The sequence below is a fragment of the Homo sapiens genome, chromosome 8, assembly GCF_000001405.40.
Source record: "Homo sapiens chromosome 8, GRCh38.p14 Primary Assembly".
Lineage (NCBI taxonomy): Eukaryota > Metazoa > Chordata > Mammalia > Primates > Hominidae > Homo > Homo sapiens.
The window spans coordinates 71,322,796-71,343,870 of NC_000008.11; the positions used below are offsets into that span (position 1 = coordinate 71,322,796).

The 21,075-nt window shown below is 39.2% G+C and overlaps 1 protein-coding gene across 26 annotated transcripts in view, besides 1 other annotated feature; it reads right to left on the minus strand.

The window, feature by feature from the left end:
• Positions 1 to 21,075, minus strand: part of EYA1 (EYA transcriptional coactivator and phosphatase 1) — a 350,662-nt gene that overhangs the window by 125,363 nt on the left and 204,224 nt on the right. For all 26 annotated transcript variants that reach the window (XM_047421528.1, NM_001370336.1, XM_011517484.4 and 23 more), the window contains one exon: positions 11,302 to 11,379. In XM_047421528.1, the coding sequence (XP_047277484.1) occupies positions 11,302 to 11,379 (78 nt within the window). The remainder of the gene's footprint in view (positions 1 to 11,301; positions 11,380 to 21,075) is intronic.
• Positions 13,468 to 13,537: a silencer, noted in NCBI's record as "silent region_19277". NCBI's record gives its function as "represses an Ori minimal core promoter by ATAC-STARR-seq in GM12878 lymphoblastoid cells {active_cell/tissue: GM12878}" and the evidence as "EXISTENCE:reporter gene assay evidence [ECO:0000049][PMID:35858748]".

Here is a 21,075-nt window from a genome sequence, read left to right on the forward strand (position 1 = left end):
GTTTTTAGTAAAAATGCGTTCCTATAACTATCTTAAATTTCTCAAGTTGCAAGCTAAGCCTGTTTTTTCCTGTGCTGATCTGGGTCTTCCTTTGCCTTTTAGTTATATGTGATCAACTTCAATGTTCAACTAAAAAAAGGTTTGCCTTTATTTTTTAAAGAGGTATTTAAGCATTCAAGCAGAACTTTACTTCTTAATCACGTTTACTTGATTAAATAATGCACTGAAGTCCAAGCAAATGTTCTTGTGCTCTAATTTTGAACTGAAGAAGCAAAAACCTATGTTAACAAAGTCCTGAAAATGGCAGTTTCAGCTTCTTTCATTGTAAACACAGTGAATCTACATATATATAAATCTACATATATGTGTGTATATATACATACATATATATCTACACATATTTACGTTTATGGGTATACATGTACATATTTTTTTCCTCCAATTCTCTAATCTCTATCGGGCTAAGATGCATATTCCTTGGGGGCAATTATTATAAGATGTAATGTTTATTTTATTCTTCTACCAATAATTACTATCTTCGGAGGCTCTATTATTTATTAATTCTATTCTACACTAAAATCCTTTTAGGAGGTTCCATGTACTCAAAGTTTCATATAGTTTTCCCATTGTCACACTGGTACATTAATGTTTCTCAAATTTAATTTTCTAGCTTGTGTTTGGGATGACAATGGTAGAATTGGACTAGAGTCTTCAAATCTATGAGTAATCTTTTCCTTGTAAAACAAACAAGGCCTGTCCAGGAACAGTAGATCTAGATTAGTACCACTCTTGCAAGCTCCCAGACTTCAAACATCTGGCTGGCCGCTTGGCAGAGACAGCATCTGTACTGAAGAGATGGCAAGCCGGCCCAGCTGGTATACCCCATCATCTGGCACATACTGAGCCACTACTCTGTTCCAGGTGCTGTGCTAGATGCTGCACGTGCGAAGGTGCAAAGACTAGATCTGTCTGATACACATGGGAAGGGTGACACATAAAGAACTGTGGGATGGTCAGTTAAAGACTGCAGTTTATAGAAGAGAGGGATTAGTGAGAGAACACTTGGACTATGAGCACTACCACTTGCCCAGGTCATCTGCAACTAAAACCTCTTCTGCTCCTCTAAGACAGAAAACAGGCCAAGGGTAACATGGACTTACCCAGCAGAATTATTGGAGAAGTAATCTCTTCCTGGGACAATTGGAGTTCAAAATAATTGGTTAAAAACCAAACAACAAAAAAATGCAATGCTACTTGCTGACAGAAGCCACAGAAACCCCATTTATTCTTTCCTAGCTCTATGTCTATGTTTTTTGAATTGTGGGTCATGGCTCATGAAAAGTTCATAAACTCAATAGGTTGTACCCAACAATTTTTTTCTTTTTTCTTTCTTTTTAACAAACAACAGAATAAAAGATATCAGGGTTATGGGTTACTACACAGAGTACAGGAAGTCCCATAAGGCTTTGATTTAGAGGATATGCACAGTATGTGTGTATATACATATGATGAAAGACTTAGGAGGCTGCAGAACGTGGGAATTAAGCCTAGGTTCTGGAATCAGAATTGAATTTCAGCTCAGATTCAAATCCCACTTCTTCTATGTGGGCTTAGTCAAGTTATTCCCTCTATGTCTCCATATGTTCTCCTATAAAATGATGGCAGTAATACTACCTACACCTCATAGGATTGTCATGAAGACTGAGATAATTTTCCCAGATTCCCACTAACTTTTACCCCACACTTGTCTTTTCCTTCTGTGTTTTCAACTCTACTCAGTGGACTGCATCACCATCTGTCCCACAAAATACTTCAAGGTTGGATTTTCTGTTTCCATTTTACATATAAGGAACTAAGGGCTGATAGAAGTAAAGTAACGTATCTAAGCAAATTGAACCCAGGTCTGCCTAACTTTTCCCACCAAAGCATACTGTCTTCCGACCCCCTGCGTGGAAATTAGAACTTCACAGCCATCTTGTTTTCCCCTCTATTTCATGACTCAGGTGGCTCCCCGACCCCCAATCCAGAATTGCCTGTTGGTCTGTCCTGCATACTCCATCCATACTCTCAGGATCCCTGTCCTGGTTTAGGTCCCAATAATGATGTCTCACCTGGACTACTGCAACAGTTACAGAGCCACTGTCCCTTTGTCCCACTCAGAGATGGCCACCTGTGCCTTCTGACTCTCAATACTGTCAACACCATGTTCTTTCTTAAATGGAAACTTCTTCATATCCATTCTCTAGCTCACAATCATTCGACAGTGCACATTATCCCTAGGATAAATTCCAAATTCCTTGGCACAGAATACAAAGAGATTCAAGCTTCAACTCCCTCCTGGGTAGGTTATCTAGGCTCCCAGACTTCAGAACTGCCCATCCATGGCATGTACTTTTATGTCTGATTTGGTTGTTGTTCACACTAGACTCATTTTCCTTGTAAAGCTCTTCTTTCCTCTGCCTGACAAACATTCCACCACAGAGACTAAGTCATCATTTTCCCTTTAGGATAACGTCTTCCTTCTCTGTACTTTCTTGGAACATTGCAATCCTTGGCAATGTAGCACCCCCAACATTGCATTATAACTAGCGTATGTAGTGTATAGATGGTTACATTCCTCTGCTAACTATGGGCTTCTGGGGCCAGGGTCTTCTTATTATCCTATTTCCTCAGCACCTGACAGGGCCTGGTATGTGGTAGAGGGAATCAACACACACTATTTGTTTAAAAAGAATGTGAGAATTAGGTCATAAGCAAAGTAGATGTTTCAAACCACAATAACGTGAAGAATGGTTCAATTATTTTAAGTTTTTTTAATAAACATACATAATAAACCTAACTTAGTTCTGTGGCAATATAGATTGGAGTAAGTAGTATACCTTATGAAATAAATGTGAAGAACCCACAATGCTGTCTTATAACTACTCACCTAGTTAGGTGTGCTTAAAATTACTGAATGTGTCAAAGGCCATATAAGAAGTCATATCTTTTGGGCTTTCTTTAAATCCAAACCTCTGTATGGCTCGCACAATCTCTGTGTGGCCTGTAGTCAAAAATCTACCATCTTATACCTGAAGTACCTTTTCTGTAATGGCATGAAACACTTTAAACTTTCTAAACAGTAACCCAGGAATTCAGATTAATTTTAATTTCACAGGACCAAAATCATCTAAAACAAAGGGAATGACCCCAGATCATCTATCAAGGTAAATTAAATGGTCCTTTTACCCTTAGAACACTCCAAATTACATATGCCACAGAGCCTTGGGAACATACGGACAACCAATATCTCTTCATCTGTTTCAATTATTCCATTCTCTGTCCAACATAGAAAGAATCTCCTCCAATCTTTTTGTAGGAAGGGAGAGGAGAATCAAAAATGAATAATAATTACAATCTTGGGACCACTGGGAAGAGCAAAAGAACTCTCGAAATTGGCAGGTCCTCAGCTCATTCCTCCCCCAGGCTCCTTCATGTCAACACCATTCAGCCAATCAGGTCAAAAGCCTAGAAGTAAGTTTTGACTCTTCTCTTTCCCTCAAACCCCACCTACCCTTTTATCATAAGTCCAGTCTGTTTTCCCAACAAAATATACCCCAAACCTTACAACTTCTCACTTCTCATTTATCACTCTGTTCCAGTCACCAATGTTGTGGCAAACAGAAGAAGCACCTCCTGATTCTTCTGCTGCAGGGGATGAAGCTGAACAAGGGCCTAGCTGTTAAGCTCTGCAATCCATCCATGCCATGCAGGGCGGGGGTGAGGGGACACTTTCAAAGGGCTTAACCCGACCAGTGACAATGCACCAGGGATACTAAGGCAGGCCTGTTCCTGGGAGAGCTGGGGCTCCTCTGATGGCCTTGCTGAAATGTCCTGAGACTGCACTCCCACCTAACTTAACCTCCCTTCCTTCCCTCTCTCCTTTCCCTTAACAAAATCCTGGCACAGTTAATCCTGCCTTGGTGGCTCTTCTAGGAAGATGTGAACTAACACAGTCATCTTTCTTCTGAGCCAGGAAAACGTTGGTCTCCCTGTTTCCATGTCACCATTCACCCCATAAAGCACCTTCCATGCATCAAACAGTGACCTCTCAAAAACATAAATTAAGTCATGCCACAAACCCCCTGACCCTCAACCCCAAGCCCTCCATTATCCTATCACATTTCATTGAACCCAAACTTATTGCTGCCCTTCACCAACATCTCTGCTCAGATGCCCTGTCCTCTAAAAGAGACTCCCATTCATTCCTTTACTAAATTCTTTGATCAGCTTTTGTTTTCTTCTTAGCAGTTTTAGTTGTCTATTTACATACACCAGCACTTAACACTTACCCATGTATTATCCGTCTCTCCCAAAGAATGAAAGCTCCATGAGGGCAGAGACCCTGTCTACCACTTCACTGCTATATTCCCACTGCCTAGAACATTGCTTGGCATATAGCAGGTGCTCAATAAATAATTGTTGAATGAACGAATCAGACCTAGAAGGGTATACCTTTTATGAACAATTAAAAAGAGAAACCATATTTGTTACACAATATTTTTTCTCCTCCAGAAGCATTCCTGCTTCTATTTTCAATTTTCAAATATCACCAGACATCAACTAGCAGTTTACTTAACAACTTAACAAATTTAGGCTTTGTAGAAATGGCAGAGGCAGTAAAGATATTAAGAACACTTTGTTTGCAATCCCTCTTGTTCTTAAAATTTAAATCATTAAAGTATTGTTTTTCATTGATAAAGAGTAAATGGGCCTCACTTTACGATATTTGGAAACCATGATAAACAATGCTGCAATTTTCAACTCAGCCACATGCCTTGGAAAACCAGCCTCCCCTTTCTTCCTTTCTTTCACTCTCCCCACGCCAAGATCCCTGAGGGCTTCCCTGGAAGAGTGAGAGTGAGTCACTATGTCCTCAAGGCTTGCAGGTGCTAGGGCTCCTTGAAAGACAGGTGGAGATAGCAATCACCAACATCAGAGTGGCTCCATTTCTTCTTTATCCTCACTGTCTATTTTGTTAAGACACTAATAATAGTTAGGGCGGGAATCTTTAAGTTCTTTTTTTTTTTTTTTTTTTTTGAGACAGAGTCTCACCCTGTCGCCCTGGCTAGAGTGCAATGGTGCATCTCAGCTCACTGCAACCTCCGCCTCCTGGGTTCAAGCGATTCTCCTGCCTCAGCCTCCTGAATAGCTGGGATTACAGGTGCCCGCCACCATGCCCGGCTAATTTTTTGTATTTTTAGTAGAGACAGGGTTTCACCATGTTAGCCAGGATGGTCTTGACCTCCTGTCCTGGTGATCTCTCTACCTTGGCCTCCCAAAGTACTGGGATTACACGTGTGAGCCACTGCACCCAGCCAAGTTCATGTGAATTTTTAAGCCATTGTGGAGAAGAAAGTAGGAGTGGTGGCCACAGAGCTAAAGGACAGCTTGGAGTTAAGGGCTTAGAAACTTCTTTCTTTTACAAACCGTAAGCCCTGTTCATAGCCATTCCAGTATGTTGATTTTTGTCTCTTTCATCACTTATAAAAGAGAGAGAAAAGAAAATGTAAAACAAGAGAATACCGATTCCGGGGTGCTCTGTGCTTCCTATGCCTTCACCCAGCCCCCTCAGCTCTCCTGATTCTTTCCGCTGTATTCAACATGGAGAATCAAACTATGGAAAACAAGATCCTTTACAGCTTCAGCCTCTCCACCACCTACCCCTTCACCTTCAGCTAAGCCCTTCTCCAAGGCCCTCGCTTCTCCTGTGTATCTTTTTCAAGTTGAGGCTGCTTGCTCTTTCAGATTCCAGATGTCACAAAGACCTGAAAACATATTTTCATTGTTGCTTCTTCCAAACCATTGGTTTTCTACTCTCCCATAAAAATCTTTCTTTCTCTGGGGTTGATGACAGATCTTCAACACTTCCATGAATGACCCACATCCTGGACACTGCCTACATTTATCAAAAACTTTAGGATTTGGTGATGTCTCCCCAACATCACCCTGGGTTATACATCCACTGCTTTTCTCAGTCTGTCTAGGCCTCAACCCTGGCCTTCCACTTCAGTCATCAAGCTCAAGACCACATCCTGGCCCCTTTTCCCCACTCCATGGTCTCAAGCCACAATCACATTGATCAATTCATTAATTTCCTTAGCAAACATTTACTGAGCATCTCCTGTATGCTTGATGCCATGAAGACCATCAGGACTGCAACTGAATAATACAAACAGAATCTCTGTTCTCATAGGGCTACAGTTTAGCAGGAAGACAGAGACCGAGGATTAATCCCATAAGTAGTGATGAAGGGTGCGGAACTAACTACAGAGGCATGTGGTGAAGGCCTCACTGAGTTTAAGTAAGGAATATCATTTCTGTCTAGAATTTTCATTCCTTTGTTCTCATTTCATGTGTTCTCCAACCTCATCAAGAGATGAAGAACCCCTGACATCCCTATCTTTTCTCACGGTATTAGCCCCTACCTTCTTCTTTCTACCCGTCTTGAATACATGAAAAATTATTTTAAACCATTCCTTTACTGATACTCTCAATTTTCTTAATTTCATATTCTCTCATGCTCTATCTGGCAAACCCTTGACCCTGGATCAAGCCCAGCATCTTTTCACATGGTCTGCTAAGCCCTTGTAGAGAAAAATCACTCTACCATACAGGCCCATCTTCATTAGCTCCAGCCTTGTTCAACCTTCAGCTCTACTGTCCATCCTATTCTCTGTTTCTAGGCAGCCTCAGACTTCCCCAGCATCCACTACATCAATTTCAGTCTTCTCCAACTCTTCAAGCTCACATGCCTATCACTACTCTTATTTTGAGTCACTTCGGAGGAAAAAGTAGAAGCCATCATTCGTTCATTCATGTTTTCTTTAATTCAAATATGTGGCACATATTAGGCAAATATGTGAGTGCCTAATATGTGGCAGGTACTGTTGTAGGTGTCAGGGATATAGAAGTGAACCAAACAAGACAGAATCCCTGCCAACACAAGCTTATGTTTTGGTGGGGTGAGAGTCCAAAACTAAACATAATACACAAGAAAATGACAGCATTTGCAAAAGGCTCATAATTATTGGCAGGAAAGAGTGGGGAGTAACCTGATCCGGTAGAACAGAAGTAGAACAGCAGAGCTGCACCGAGTCAAGTGGTCAGGGTGGGCCTCGATGAGGTGAGATTTGAACACAGACGAAGTTAGGGAGAGTAAGGCAGGTGTACAGGGAAAGGACTGCCAGCAAAAAACACACTGTGTGGGGAGCATGTCTACCACATGGGAGGAAGAACAGTAAGCAAGGCGGGCAGGCAACAAGGTCAGACAGTCTCTGAGGCAGATGATGATAGGGCTTGTGGGCTTTTTAAGGATTTGGCTTTTACCCGTAGAGCCGAATGGGAGCCTTTGGAGGGTCTGAACTGAAGAATCGGATAGGAACTCCCTCAACATACTGCCACCTCATCCACTTCAAATTCATCTGCACCACTTCATATTGCATCTTCCCCAATGTTTCAGTGGAAAAGTTATTCCTTTTCTAGCCTGATCCGCTTCTGTTTTGGATTTGTGCTATTGCTGTCCCATCAGGGGCTTTCCTCTATCAATTATCCCCCTACTTACCCATACCTCTAACCTCTGCCTCTGTTGAGTTTGTGTCAGCTGTATGAAACCACCCTGACCTCCTAAATGCCATCCCTCTCTCTAACGAATTTCCTTTCCTTCCCTTCTTTTTAGCACTATGTACTTGAAAGACATTTTTCTTTTCCTCATCTTCACTCCCCCACATTATTCATGAATCATTCATTCATTCAATAAACTTTAGGAGCACATACTATCTGCTAAGAGCTATGCTGGAGACACAGAAGTTGGTCATGTGGTCCAGCAGGGACAAGGATAAAGTTCATCCATCTACTGAAACTGCCACAGGCTAATCCATTGATGCTTGTAATTTTTTAATTTTCAATTTTGACATAATTTGAAACTTGCAGAAAAGTTGCAAGAACAGCACAAAAACTTCCCAGATAGCCTTCATCCAAATTCTCCAACATGTTATTAGCTTTATCCTTGATTTCTTGTGTGTGTGTGTGTGTGTGTGTGTATGCATACGCATATGTACCTCACATTCTGTTGGAGTTTTGTGTATGATGTCTTTTTACTTATAAATATTTCTGGCCGGGTGCAGTGGCTCACACCTGTAATCCCAGCACTTTGGGAGGCCGAGGCGAGTGGATTACTAGGTCAAGAGATTGAGATCATCCTGGCCAACATGGTGAAACCCCATCTCTACTAAAACTTCAAAAATTAGCTGGGCATGGTGGCACGTGCCTGTAGTCCCAGCTACTCGAGAGGCTCAAGTAGGAGAATCACTTGAACCCAGGAGGCAGAGGTTGCAGTGAGCCGAGATCACACTACAGCACTCCAGCCTGGGCAACAGAGTGAGACTCTGTCTCTAAATAAATAAATAAATACACACACACACACACACACACACACACACACACACACACATATATATACATATATATATTTCTATGTGTATTTCTTAAAAACAAAGAATTCTTTTACCACAGTACAGTTATCAAAATCAGGAAAAACAGTGATAGTGATGCAATACTATTTTCCACAGATATTTTCAAAAAGATTATCTCTTTGTAGCACATGATTTTTAACTTGGACTTTAAAAGTATTACTTTTTAAAAGTATAAATGTTTTATATATATATATACACATATATATAATGTAAAAATTTTGAAAATAAGACAAAAGCAGAAGGAATAATATTCAAATTATATTCCACCATCTAGAGAGAATCACTGTTAATTTTTAGACCCATATACACAGGCCCATATATGTACATACAGATGCCTTTTTAAGAAAGCAAAACTGTGATTATACTGAAAATATGACTCTTTCATAACTTGCTTTTTCTCTTAATATAGTTAACATTTTCTCAAGACACGTTTTAAAAATAATTCTCAAGAGCTGTGTACAGATCCACATTATTGACAGTGCTTCCTTAAAATTCTTCCCTGTGTTTGCTTCCAGTTCAACACTATTGCTTTTTTGTTTTTGTTTTGTTTTTGTTTTGAGACAGAGTCTCACTCTGCTGCCCAGGCTGAAGTGCAGTGGTGCAATCATAGCTCACTGCAACCTTGAACTCCTGGGCTCAAGTGATCTTCCAGTCTCAGCCTCCTTAGTAGCTGGGACCACAGGCGCATGCCACCACGCCCAGCTAATTTTTTAAAAATTATTTTTTGTAGAGACAGGTCTCCCTGTGTTGTCCAGGCTGGCCTCCAACTCCTGGGCTCAAATGATTCTCCTGCCTCTGCATCCCAAAGTGCTAGGATTACACGTGTGAACCACCATGCCTGGCCAAAACTTGCTTTATCCCGAATTACCTGTTTTCATTTGATCCTCTGCCCATGTCATATATATTAGCTTTCCGTGAGTTCTGTCTTCAACTTTGTTTACCCCACTAGCTTTAACTCCCTGTATACCTTCAAATTTCCCATGCCAAATCTCCTCTGAGCTCCAAACCCTAATATACTTGGCATCTGCAGGTAGATGCTGCCTCACAGTCAACATGCCCAAAACTGAGGTTCCTGTCTTCCTTTGTCAACCGTGCTCCTCTTGCATTTCCTGGCTCTTAACTTCTTTCTCTGCCTCACTTACCCCTATACCCATTGGTCACTGCCCACTATAAATTCTACTTCGTAAATGAAATGCACCAAATCCATCACCTTCCCATACCCATTGCCAGCGCTTTATTTCAGGTCTTCAATATTTCTTGCTCAAATTAATACAAAAAAATCTCTCCCTGATTTCTCCACTTCAGCTCACCTGCCCCTAATTCATCCTGCCATGGTGGCCATAATTCTGTCCTATGAATATGACCATGCGACCCCTTTCCTTTGATGCCTCCCATTGCACACAGGAGAAAACACAAATTCCATGAAGCTCACACAAGCCTCTTTAGACTCTGGCCCCTGCCTCCCTCTGCAACATGCCCTTGCTCTCATACTGTACACACACCAGGAACCCTGAACCATTAACAGTTCCCCAAAGATCCACGCCCTCTGTGCTGCTGTCTCCTTTCATGGAGTGTCCATTTGTCCAGCATCTCTCTCTCAGTGCTTCTTTCCTACTCATTTTTTAAGACTGAGCATCCACTCCAAGACACCTTCCCTGATCACCCCACCCCAACCTGGTCTCCACTAGGTCCCTTCGTGGGTGTTCTTTGGGCTCTCTGGGCTTCCCTCTGCATCATCAAACTGTACTGTGATGGTCTGTTCATTTGTTCATCCCACTAAGCCCTGGATCAGGACCATTTTCATACACCTATGAAGTCAGCATGGCACCAACCACATTGCCAAGCAAAAGTCAAATTCTAATAAATGTTTTAGGAAAGAACAAATGGATATTACACCCTTTGTTAATTTTTATCACTTTCACCTGGTATCATTAGTATCGAAGTTGTGTGTTTGCATTTCATTTTGTATTTATAATTTCTTTTTGTTGTGGTATGTATTAAATAAATGATCCAGAGAGCTTGAGTAAATCAATCACAACTTTATGGAATTATAGCATTTCCAATAGAGAGGTGCTAAAATTATAGCAGGCAATATTAAAAAAAAGTCAAAATTCTAAGAATTACCTCTGATATAAATAATTTTTAAATGAAATATTCCAAACTGGGCTGGGTGACTTGGCAAACATATAATCACATTCTCACAACCACCTTATGATCACAGTCACTTTCTTGTCAGTAATTTCATTATGACACTTGTGAAACTTGGATATTCTGTTTATTGGAGGCAGGTTTTATTAATGTGAAGGAGATTAAAAACTAACTGAAGAACTTAATGCTGCTTTACAGAGTCTATTTAATTTAGATCTATAGTTGATATGACAGTTACTTAGCAAGATGACTTGGCGAGTCTGCTTAGAAGCGTAAAACACCAAATTTTGCCTAACCAAATTTGAAGACCTGGAAAAATAATACATCTAAGAGAGAACGGGGGAGGAGTCACCAGCACAGTAAATATAATTAGTAGAAGAAAGGAGAAGAACAACACCCTTTTTATACCCCATTTATTGGATAGCAACATTTCAGCAACCACTTCTTCACAATGAATAAAAACAGAATTGGTAATATGTGACTCTGAGCAAAGCTATTTTATATGTATATATACATAAGTACGTATATACCCACATATATACACATATACATGTATACATATACATACACAGGGACATTACATGAATAAACTAGAAAAAATGCTTGGTGTTGATGTGAAAATCTAATATTTATTCCTTACCTGAACCTGAGAAATTGTTTAAAGACCCGTCGGCTGTCGTTGAAGCTGTTTCACTGCTGCTCATTGGCTCTGTTTTAACTACAAAAATAAACAACATACATCGATATTGAATTAATAGTTATTTGTAAAGACATGGAAGAGAAGATATAACATTCAGAGTAATGACAAGAAAATCATTTCAAAAAACATTTTCCCTAACTGAACATATATCATAAGCATAAATAGACTCCTTTTAAAAAAATTCACATATTAAGTTCTTTCCCCTTAGGAAACAATCTATTGTCACAAGTTACCCTTTAAAAGCAGCACTGTAAAAGTAATTAAATTCATCATTGTTTTACATATTTACTGAATTACTTATTGATAAATTATCTCTCAAAATCTACATGATGTGATATAAAATCATTTCCTGGGGTTGTGGAAAAAATCTGTTATTTGGTCAGAGTCAAAAGGATAGAACAGAAAGATGTGGGGAAGCAGGAAGTAAGTGGGTGTCGACACCAGCAGGTCTTCCTGATGCTCAAGGGCAAGGTCTCCCCCACCACACACACACACACCTTCTGGGTTCTCCAGCATGGCTAAAAAACCAAGGGCTTGATTTAATGCACCATCATTACCACCCAGCCATATCTGACTGCCAATTCACCAATATTTTATGTATGCTTCGTACCAAAAACATAACTGAATGTAAATGAAGCAGAAACAAAGTTTTCTATTTCAAAACAGTATTGATAGCAGACAGTTTGTGAAATACATACATGATATTTGGTCAAGTCCCTTTGTGCTGTGAGATAACTTTTAGATTTATGCTACAGATTCTCTAAAGCAATCCACTCCCCTGATATGGTGACAGTGTTATTGTTCCCCTACCAAAGAGGCAAGCCAACAACTTCAGCACATCTGCCTTTGTTCTCTCTAGTTTTACATTTTTTTAAAAGAAGAAGTAGCATCGTTGTTTTCCTTAGAAACTACTGGTGAAGTGCCATCATCAGAATTTGCCTACCCTGCTTTGTGGAAGGTATTCATTTCTTAGTAACAGATTTTCAGAAAGAATGCAGTAATATTTTAAGGGATACCTAAAAATCATTAACATGCTTCCTAAAACAAAGGCTCCCATGAGAGAATATTTGGGGAGGCCTCTCTTATAAAGCAAATACATTTTGAAGCGGGAAAAGATGATGGAGAAAATGCAGCTTTTCCTCCTCTCAACATCACCAATCTGTTATAAACACCAGGGAAAAGGCACATTCACATAACTCCTGGATCTTCAAATATTCTCCTAATGCATAATGAGTAGTTTAAAAATAAGCATTATAAATAGATGCATCGGATAGTCACTTTTTAAAAAAATAATTTTTCAGATGGCTTCTAAACAAGCTTTGGAAAACAACAATCGTGAGACTAATGGAAATCACTCTGCTGGATTGTTTTAATGTAGACCAAACAATGGTGTAACTGAAGTTGTAACTGAAGTTTTCACTTTTCTGCCAGTTGTTTTGGGTTTAGAAGTCTTTGTTGATGCTAAAAATTCTGACATAAGCCTGTATTTCCCTTCCCTCTCCATGACACCAGACAACCTAATGATTTTGCTTTTCATCACCATTACACTGCCATCGTTTCAGGAAAGGCAGTATTTCATTGCTAGCACACAGTTTCTAAGTTTCTTACTTAGCTGTCCACATCATACCTTACCTCCTTAAAAACACACACACACACACACAAAACCTAATATAATGCCCCATACACATAAAGCAATCGTTCTATTTCACTCTCTGCCAGACAGATCACCACTAAGATTCTGAACTCAGAATCAAATACAACATACTAAGCAAAAGATTAGAATTAGGTGCCATGGAAACAGGTCCTGTAAAGTGCCTACTATGTGTCAGTTATTTATAGACATTATAATTCATCCTTTTAAACAACTCTACAAATAGTTCTCAGAATAGACAAACTCCCTAGTCAGTATTGTCTTCTTGTTTCCCATGCACACATTAAAACCAAAGGGGTTAGGAAGTCACCCAAAGACTCACAGTAAGGGGCAGAAATAAGATTTAACTTGGGATGTTTTTGACTCCAAGGCCCATGACTAAAGCTTGAAGAAATAGTAATAAGTGGGACTTTCCAATAGTACAAGCTACTCCACAACAAGGCTGCTGGGGCACAGTGCCACACACTGGGGATAGAGTGGAAAGCGAAGTCCCTGCTCTCCTACGGTCTTAGGGCTCCTAGCCTAGTGAACTTGCTGGAAATTCTCACATAGAAGTTTCATGCCCAACTGTCAGGAAAAGATGTGAAGAAAAAAATTGTTCCACTGCGTGAGATGTCAATCAAGGTTACTTCCAAGTCTTTGTCAAATCTAAGGGCTATGATTCAACAGATTCTATAGATGCAACTACTTTGTGAATGCTTGACTACACCAAAACCACTCCTGTTTCTGTACCCCTAAAATTGACACCAGCTATTCTCCATATGATTAGCTTAATCGAATGTAGCCTTCACTCCCAAGAGGCACATTCAATTATACTTGAAATCCATTAAAACTAGGCAAAAAGGTTAGAAAGGAAAGGAAGAGGATACTTTTCTTTTAGGCCCCAATAACACTGCTTTTCACCATTGTTCAAACATACCCATCTATACACTAAGGAATAAAGACTCCCTTTTCCCAATGAACCCAGTTTTTTAAAAGGCTCACTGTTGAAGAGAAGAGGATGTACATAAAATAACCACCAGGATATTCATGATTTTATCAGGTACTGTAATTGAATACTTTGATCACCAGGGACCTGATGCTAAAGACTGGTGATTTATTGTAATGTAAAATAGTTTCTGAATGAAAGCCAAAGAAACAGAGACTACTTCTGGCTTTATTGTAGCCAAACATACATCCACCAGAGAGTTAAAAAGATGAGAATGATCTCTGGCCACCAAAATTTTATCCATCCCATTCCCACTAGCACCACCACATTTATAAATATGCTGTAGATGATGTAATACGGCATCTCTCCAACGCTTTGAATTTAAAAACATACACTGAGTTTTCTTGGTCTTAGAGGTTTAAGGTACTGTAACATCTGAGAACAACTATCCCATCTAAGCCACCCATCTAAAAAGGAAAAACTATGAATGATCTGTTCCCCTTTAAATAACTAGGATTAGTTTATCTCCACCATACTCTTCATTATATGACTCCAGTCTATTAGAAAATAGCAACTTTTGTTCTCTTTTGCCCCCACACGAGTCTCTTTTTCTACCATTCTAAGTTTCCAATCTTCCTTCTGATCCTTAAAAATATATTCATCCTTTAAAAATATTCAAAAATTCCCTTTTATCCCTTAAATCTCCCTGTTCCTCCAACTCCTTCACTTGGCCATGCACTCCAGGCCTGAGCAATGCTGGGCAACTTGCTACTCTCTAGATATGAAATGATCTTCCCTCCACCAATGCCTTTGAGTTTTGGTCTTGAAGTCAGAGAATCCAGTTACCTACTATAAGACTTTCTAAAAGTGATTTAATCTCCTTGATCTTAATTATCTCCATATACAAATGTTTTAAAATTATATCTGTATTACAGGAATAAGAATTCATAAAAATGTACATAAAGTACCTGATATAAAGTAGGAGCTAAAACTATATTCATCATCATCATTAAAAGTAGCAGTAGCAATATTCTCTGTTGGGCTGAATGCCTTCCTCCTTTCTCCTGTGGAGTAATACCAGGAACAATATAGAACAGTTAAAAGCACCAGCTTTGGAACTATCAGTTGAATTTCAATCTAGCTTTGCATCTAACAGCATGAATCTGGAAGTTAGCCAACTTCTGTATGCCTCGGCTTCCTCATCTGTAAGTGTGGGTGAATACTCAGGTGAGAATAAAAAAAGATAAATGCTTCTAAATCATTCCACACTGTGCTAGGTCCAGGGCCCATGCTTTTATAGTCACTCTATCACTATAGTGTCTCTTTACGACAAATCAAAGTCTTTCTTAAGATATAGATAACTGGGTCCAAATGTATCATGAACTTCACATTAAAGTTAAGCTTCCCCTTTAAAAGAAAGTTAGAAGAATCCGAAGTAAAGGGATGTATCCAAGATCAGCCATGAGGCCACACTTCAAGAGAGCCAAAATTAAATCAAGGTAACTTGGAAATAACTCAAGAAGGCAGGACCAAATTGTGATTATATGAAGAAAACTTATGTTTTGATCATTAAAAGGCAGTGTATATTTTCTGAAGAAACAGGCTAATAGAAGGAGAATGGTTTACATGGCAATTGTGATCAATAATTCCAGGAGAAAATGTGGCCATCTTTTTCTGACATTTTTTAGGGGAGGCTGGCCCATAAAAATGAGAAAACCATCTTCCTTCGTCATAAATTTCAGTGTGGATCTATCTATCAGACCATTGGAGCTCGGTGACATTAGCTATCAAGATCATGCCACTAACCCATCATACCATGATTCCATGCTTATCAAGCAACTTCTGGTTATACCTTGAAGGTTCCAGTCGTACAGAAGACTTCTACATCTGCAGAAGATGTCAGACCATTCAGAAGAAACAAATATTTCGTCCATTTGATTAGTTATATTTTTCACCATAAAATAAGTGGGCTGTTTTAATAAAGCAAGTTCACCCACAAAGGACAGTACTGCCTGCTGGACTAGGAGCCAGCCTGTGTGTTACAAATAATTCACGCTGCAACGCGCAGGGAAGGCAGCAGCCTTGGTGAGCTGCAGGCCCTCCCCAGCAGCACCTAAGCTCATCTCACAACTTTTCTCAAACTGTTACAGTAAGCACAGCTTGTCTTTGCTTGGCACAAACTCAATCTTCCTTTTAGTTTTGTTTCCTACTATATTATGCAGGGACTTCAAAAACTCAGTTTACCATCCCTCTCCCACTCTTTATGAGTCCTTCATCTCTTCTACTTCAACAAGACTTACCTTCATTCCATATTGGTTATTAAAATGTTCAGCTGCACCCATGCCTGGAATTGCATTACCTCCTTGAAATATCACCTTTGACCTCATTCATTCACTTAGTTGCTATTACCCCTCATCAGAACAAGCCATCTTTCCAAATCCCTATCTATTCTCCGACTCCTGCTTCACAGCCTCCCTTGCCTAGCCTGAAACCCAGAGCCAGCCACGTCTAGCTCCCATCCTAGGATGCTGTGTGGTCTCATTTCTCCTAGCATCTCTTTTTGCCAAATTTTAATCTCAGGATGGGCAATCTCTCATTGTTCACTGTTCTGCTGCTGTTCCAGATGGATGAGTATAGCAGAACAGGTGCCATACATGCTGGCCAAGTCCACTTCATTGTATTCTGTCTTTATTCTTTTGAGTCACCCTGTTGCTTGCCAGACCCCCTTTTCCACCTCTTGACAACTGTCTGAAACTGTTTCCACTGAGTTTTTTCCACGTTCCTTACGCTCCCGAGACATACCTCATCCCTCACCATCTTTGGCCCTTCCACACCAACTATTTCCCTTCCACACCAACTATTTTCTAAAGAATGTTGATGCTGCATTAAATCCTTCATCTTCCTGCAACATTTCCCAGTTTTCCATGGATTAATTTCAATGAAAGTTTCCTTTCCTTGAGCAGGGTTTAACCTATTTTACCAAGAAGACTTTCCCAATTGCCCAGTTCAAACTCTTCTTAATCCTAACTTTCCTCCATGGTATAGAATGAGCCTCATTCCTTGATACTTCTTTTTATCATTGTTCAATATAACATAGCAATAGTTCTCTTCTCCCCCATGTATTGCTTTTTCTCCAGGTTTTCTTCCTTTGACTACTCTGTGGTTCTAAAATTTCATCTCCTTCTTGTCTGCATTTTCTCTCACAATCATTTCTGTCCTGGCCACACTCTATAATTTCCACCACTCTAATATTTTACAAGTGTCTTCTTTCTAATTTCACAGCCACTATCCTAATTACCTTCTGCCTCTTCTCTTATGAAAGTTAGCAAATTGGACTTTCAGCCTCTACTCTCCCTGCTTTGGAAACAAATATTTATATTTTCATAATTTAGATGTGCGTGAGTCGCTCCTGGCTGTAGGGTCTTCAGCAGGTTCTTCACTGTCTTCTGAATTAAGTTCCCAATCTCTAATCATGTATTTAAGGTCCCCCCATACTCTGACACAGAATTTTTCTTATTTTCTTTGCTTTACTTTTCATTTCATTTCTTTCATACACTTTTTATTTGCATGACAAATAGTAATTTGCAAGAATACAAGAGTACTGAAAAAATACACAATCTCATCTAGTTGTCCCAACTTTCCTGTGTGGCACTATTATCCCCATTTATAGATAAAGAACCATATATCCATAAGTTGGACATCATTTAAACCAACTGGCATCCTAAGATGTTTAATGCTTCCTCAAGTCTACAGCTTTGTAGTACCCTTCCCTCTGACATTGAATATTCTACAAATTTTACACGTGACTAAATCCCACAGTTTCTTCAAGGTTCAACTAAAATCCCACCTGTTTCCTTAAGTCTTCTGTGATCTAGTACTCAGGGGTGGTTTCTTATTCCTTGAACTATGTCTGTGTTTGTGACTCCTTTAGAATATATGTTCTCTTCTACCTCATTTTATATTGGAAAGTCTTATGCATTTCAATATATAATAAACTGCTTCATGACCTAAAATGATCCTCTAAGACCAAAAAAACTCAGCTACATTTTTTTTTAATTTACATGATTGTATCTCTACAGGACTTAGCCCAACGTTTGGCTTGCGTTGAAATTCAATATTTATTGAGGGAATGGATAAAGATAAACTGACTTAAAAGACAGGTTACAACTGACTTCATACTACTAGACACATTGCACAGGACAATTCAAAACACTGTTTATGCTAAAAACAAGATGACAGTTTATTCCCTCCAAATCATCACTCAGTCTACTGATATGCAGGCTTTGCAAAGTGTCTCATTTACAGGACATGTGTCAGTTATGTTATTTTGAAAAGTGTACTATTTGGAGAAGACACATTAGCATAAACTATCAATTACTGAAATTTTTGTATGTTTAGAGAGGATCCCGCCCGAATCAGTAAAAAGAAAGGTAAATAAATTACCATGAATTTGTAATAATTCATGGGACATGACCCACAAAAGTAAATGTTGGGTATTGCTGCAAATAAGCCTTAAAAGGACCCTTTATAAAGCAACACAATTATGCTGTAGAGGATCACAAAAGCACAACCATGTAACGTTATGTTACGGGTTGGATTCAATGACAGTATCACTCACAGATTTCATGAGTCTCTTTCTCAAACCATGAGGCAGAAATAGAAATGTGTTTTTAGAAACTGTGTCAAATGATTTAAAAAGGGGCAGCAAGGGAGATGTGAAGAGAATAAAATTGTTGCATAAAGTACGAAAGTGGAAAAAAGCAACATTGCTAAATTTATATATTTGACATCTCACTCTAAATGCATGATTGACTCAATATTACAAGTACCCATTTGATTATTTCTGCTTCACCTAAAAGTGCATATATCCATGAACTCAATGTGTTTTCTTTAGTTAATTCCCATTTAGAAAACAAGACATTCCTTTATGTTTGGATTGGCTATATAGCATATGATCATTATCTCTCCAAAAAGTAAAGTTAAGGTCATCTTCTTTATCTTAAAGGAGGGCAGGAAAAAACATTAGCTCTTCAATGGTACACCTGGTACAATCTTATGAAAACCAAATAAACACATCCAGACTAAACTTGAATTTAAGAGTATACATGGCCAAAAAGAAACATTAGTCTATTTCAAAACCTGCTATTCATGGAAAGTACAGCATATATCAATAGCAGCATGTGCAATTACTTATGGGTTGGTCTAGACTAATTTAAATTTTTTGTAAAAGAAATAATATATGGTAAATCACGACTGCTCCTTTGTAATGTCTTTTACAACTCCATGTTCCTTTTTGTTTTGCAACTCATTCTTCCACACTAGCTCAGTTTCCTAACATATGCAATCTGAGAAGATTACATGAGCCTCCATACTAATGCTCATCTCTCCCCCAATCCAATCTATCCTTGCAACTGCTGCCAGACTAACACCTAAAACACTTCCACCATATCAGCCCCTTGCTCAAAATATTCAGTGGCTTCTCTACCGACTCCAGGATGAAGTCCAAATTCCTTAGCTTACTATTCAGGGTCCTCCACAGTTTGGCTCCAACTGATCCTTCCAACCTTATCTACTATCAATTCCTTCTTCAGCTAAACTGGTCTCCTCACAGTCTCCCAAACTATCCTACCTTTGTTTGTATTGTTTCTTCATTTAGAATGCATTCCATCTCTTCTCCACCTATTCAAATTCTACCCATTTCCCAATACTCAGCTCAGATTCCATCTCCTCCTTGAAGCTGGGCCAGACCTTAGCAAGCTGAAGAGCTCTTTCTTCTGTACTCTGAGAGCACTTTTGTTCAGATCTGTGGCTTCTAACCTTCTTGAGAATGAAGCCCTCTAACACCAAAACATTTCAGAACCCAAAGTGTATGACAAAAACCTACTATGAATTTGTAGATAAAAAATGTGTATTTTAATAAACATAACAGAATGTCCATATGTGAAAGAGTTAAATATATATGTGGCCTGTTAATTTCCTCACCCTACAGACAAACCTTTTGAATTTGCGGACCTTTGGTACTTGCTCTCCAACTACTGAGGAAGTGTAAGCCACAGACTGAAAATCCTAGTCTCCATAATTTATTTGGTATATTACCTTTTAGTTTTTGCTAAATGTTTAAAAAGTCTTATCTGCCTTAACCAGCCTGTGAGCTCCTTAAGACAGGTGTCATAGTCATCACAAAATAGAGAGATAAATATCTAAATTAAATATTTTGTTTGAAAATCACAGAATTGCAATTCAGAACATATACACAGAGCAGGATGGTCTTCAGTATGTCCTAAGAACAAAGAGAAGGAGGTTTTATTAGAAAATGTTACATTTTGTTTTGAAAAGCTCATTGGCACTAGAGAAGCTTTGGGAGGCTGCCAACCTCTGACTGGTGACTGGTGGCAGTAGGTAAAATTAGTCATGGAGTCATGGCAGGTTGTCTCACTAGTTACTAGGTAAACTGGTTTGAAGGTTACAGCAGGCCATTTCAGCAGCTGGGCTTGAAGAAAATTCAGTTTTTGGAGCTGGTGCTATATTCCCCAAGTGCTTTCTCCCCCTTCTCCTTCAACTGATTTAGTTGGTGCTATGGTTTGAGTATGTATTCCCTCCAAAACAAATTTTGAAACTTAATCCCCGATGTGTCAGTATTGAAAGATGGGAACTTTAAAAGGTAATTGGATCACAAGCGCTCCACCCTCACGAATGTATTAATCCATTCATGGACTAATGGGTTCATGGATTAATGGTTTATCAGGAGAGGGAAACTGGCGGCTTTATGAGAAGAGGAAGAGGAACCTGAACTAGCATGTTAACATGCTCCATGGCCTCCCCATGTGACACTCTGTGCCACCTTGGAACTCTATAGAGAGTCCCCACTAGCAAGAAGATCCTCACCAGATACAGGCCCTTGACCTTGGACTTAGCCTTCATAACTGTAAGAAATAAATTCCTTTTCTTTATAAATTATCTTGTTTCAAGTATTCTGTCATAAGCAACAGAAAATAAACTAGTACAGTTGGATATAACTAAAATGACCCAATTGGCATAAATCAACTTTCACACAAGGGCAGTACCATATACCTCTTCATATTTCTTCTAGAATCTGGCAGAGTTTATTTGTATACAGTAAAAACTAAATAAATAT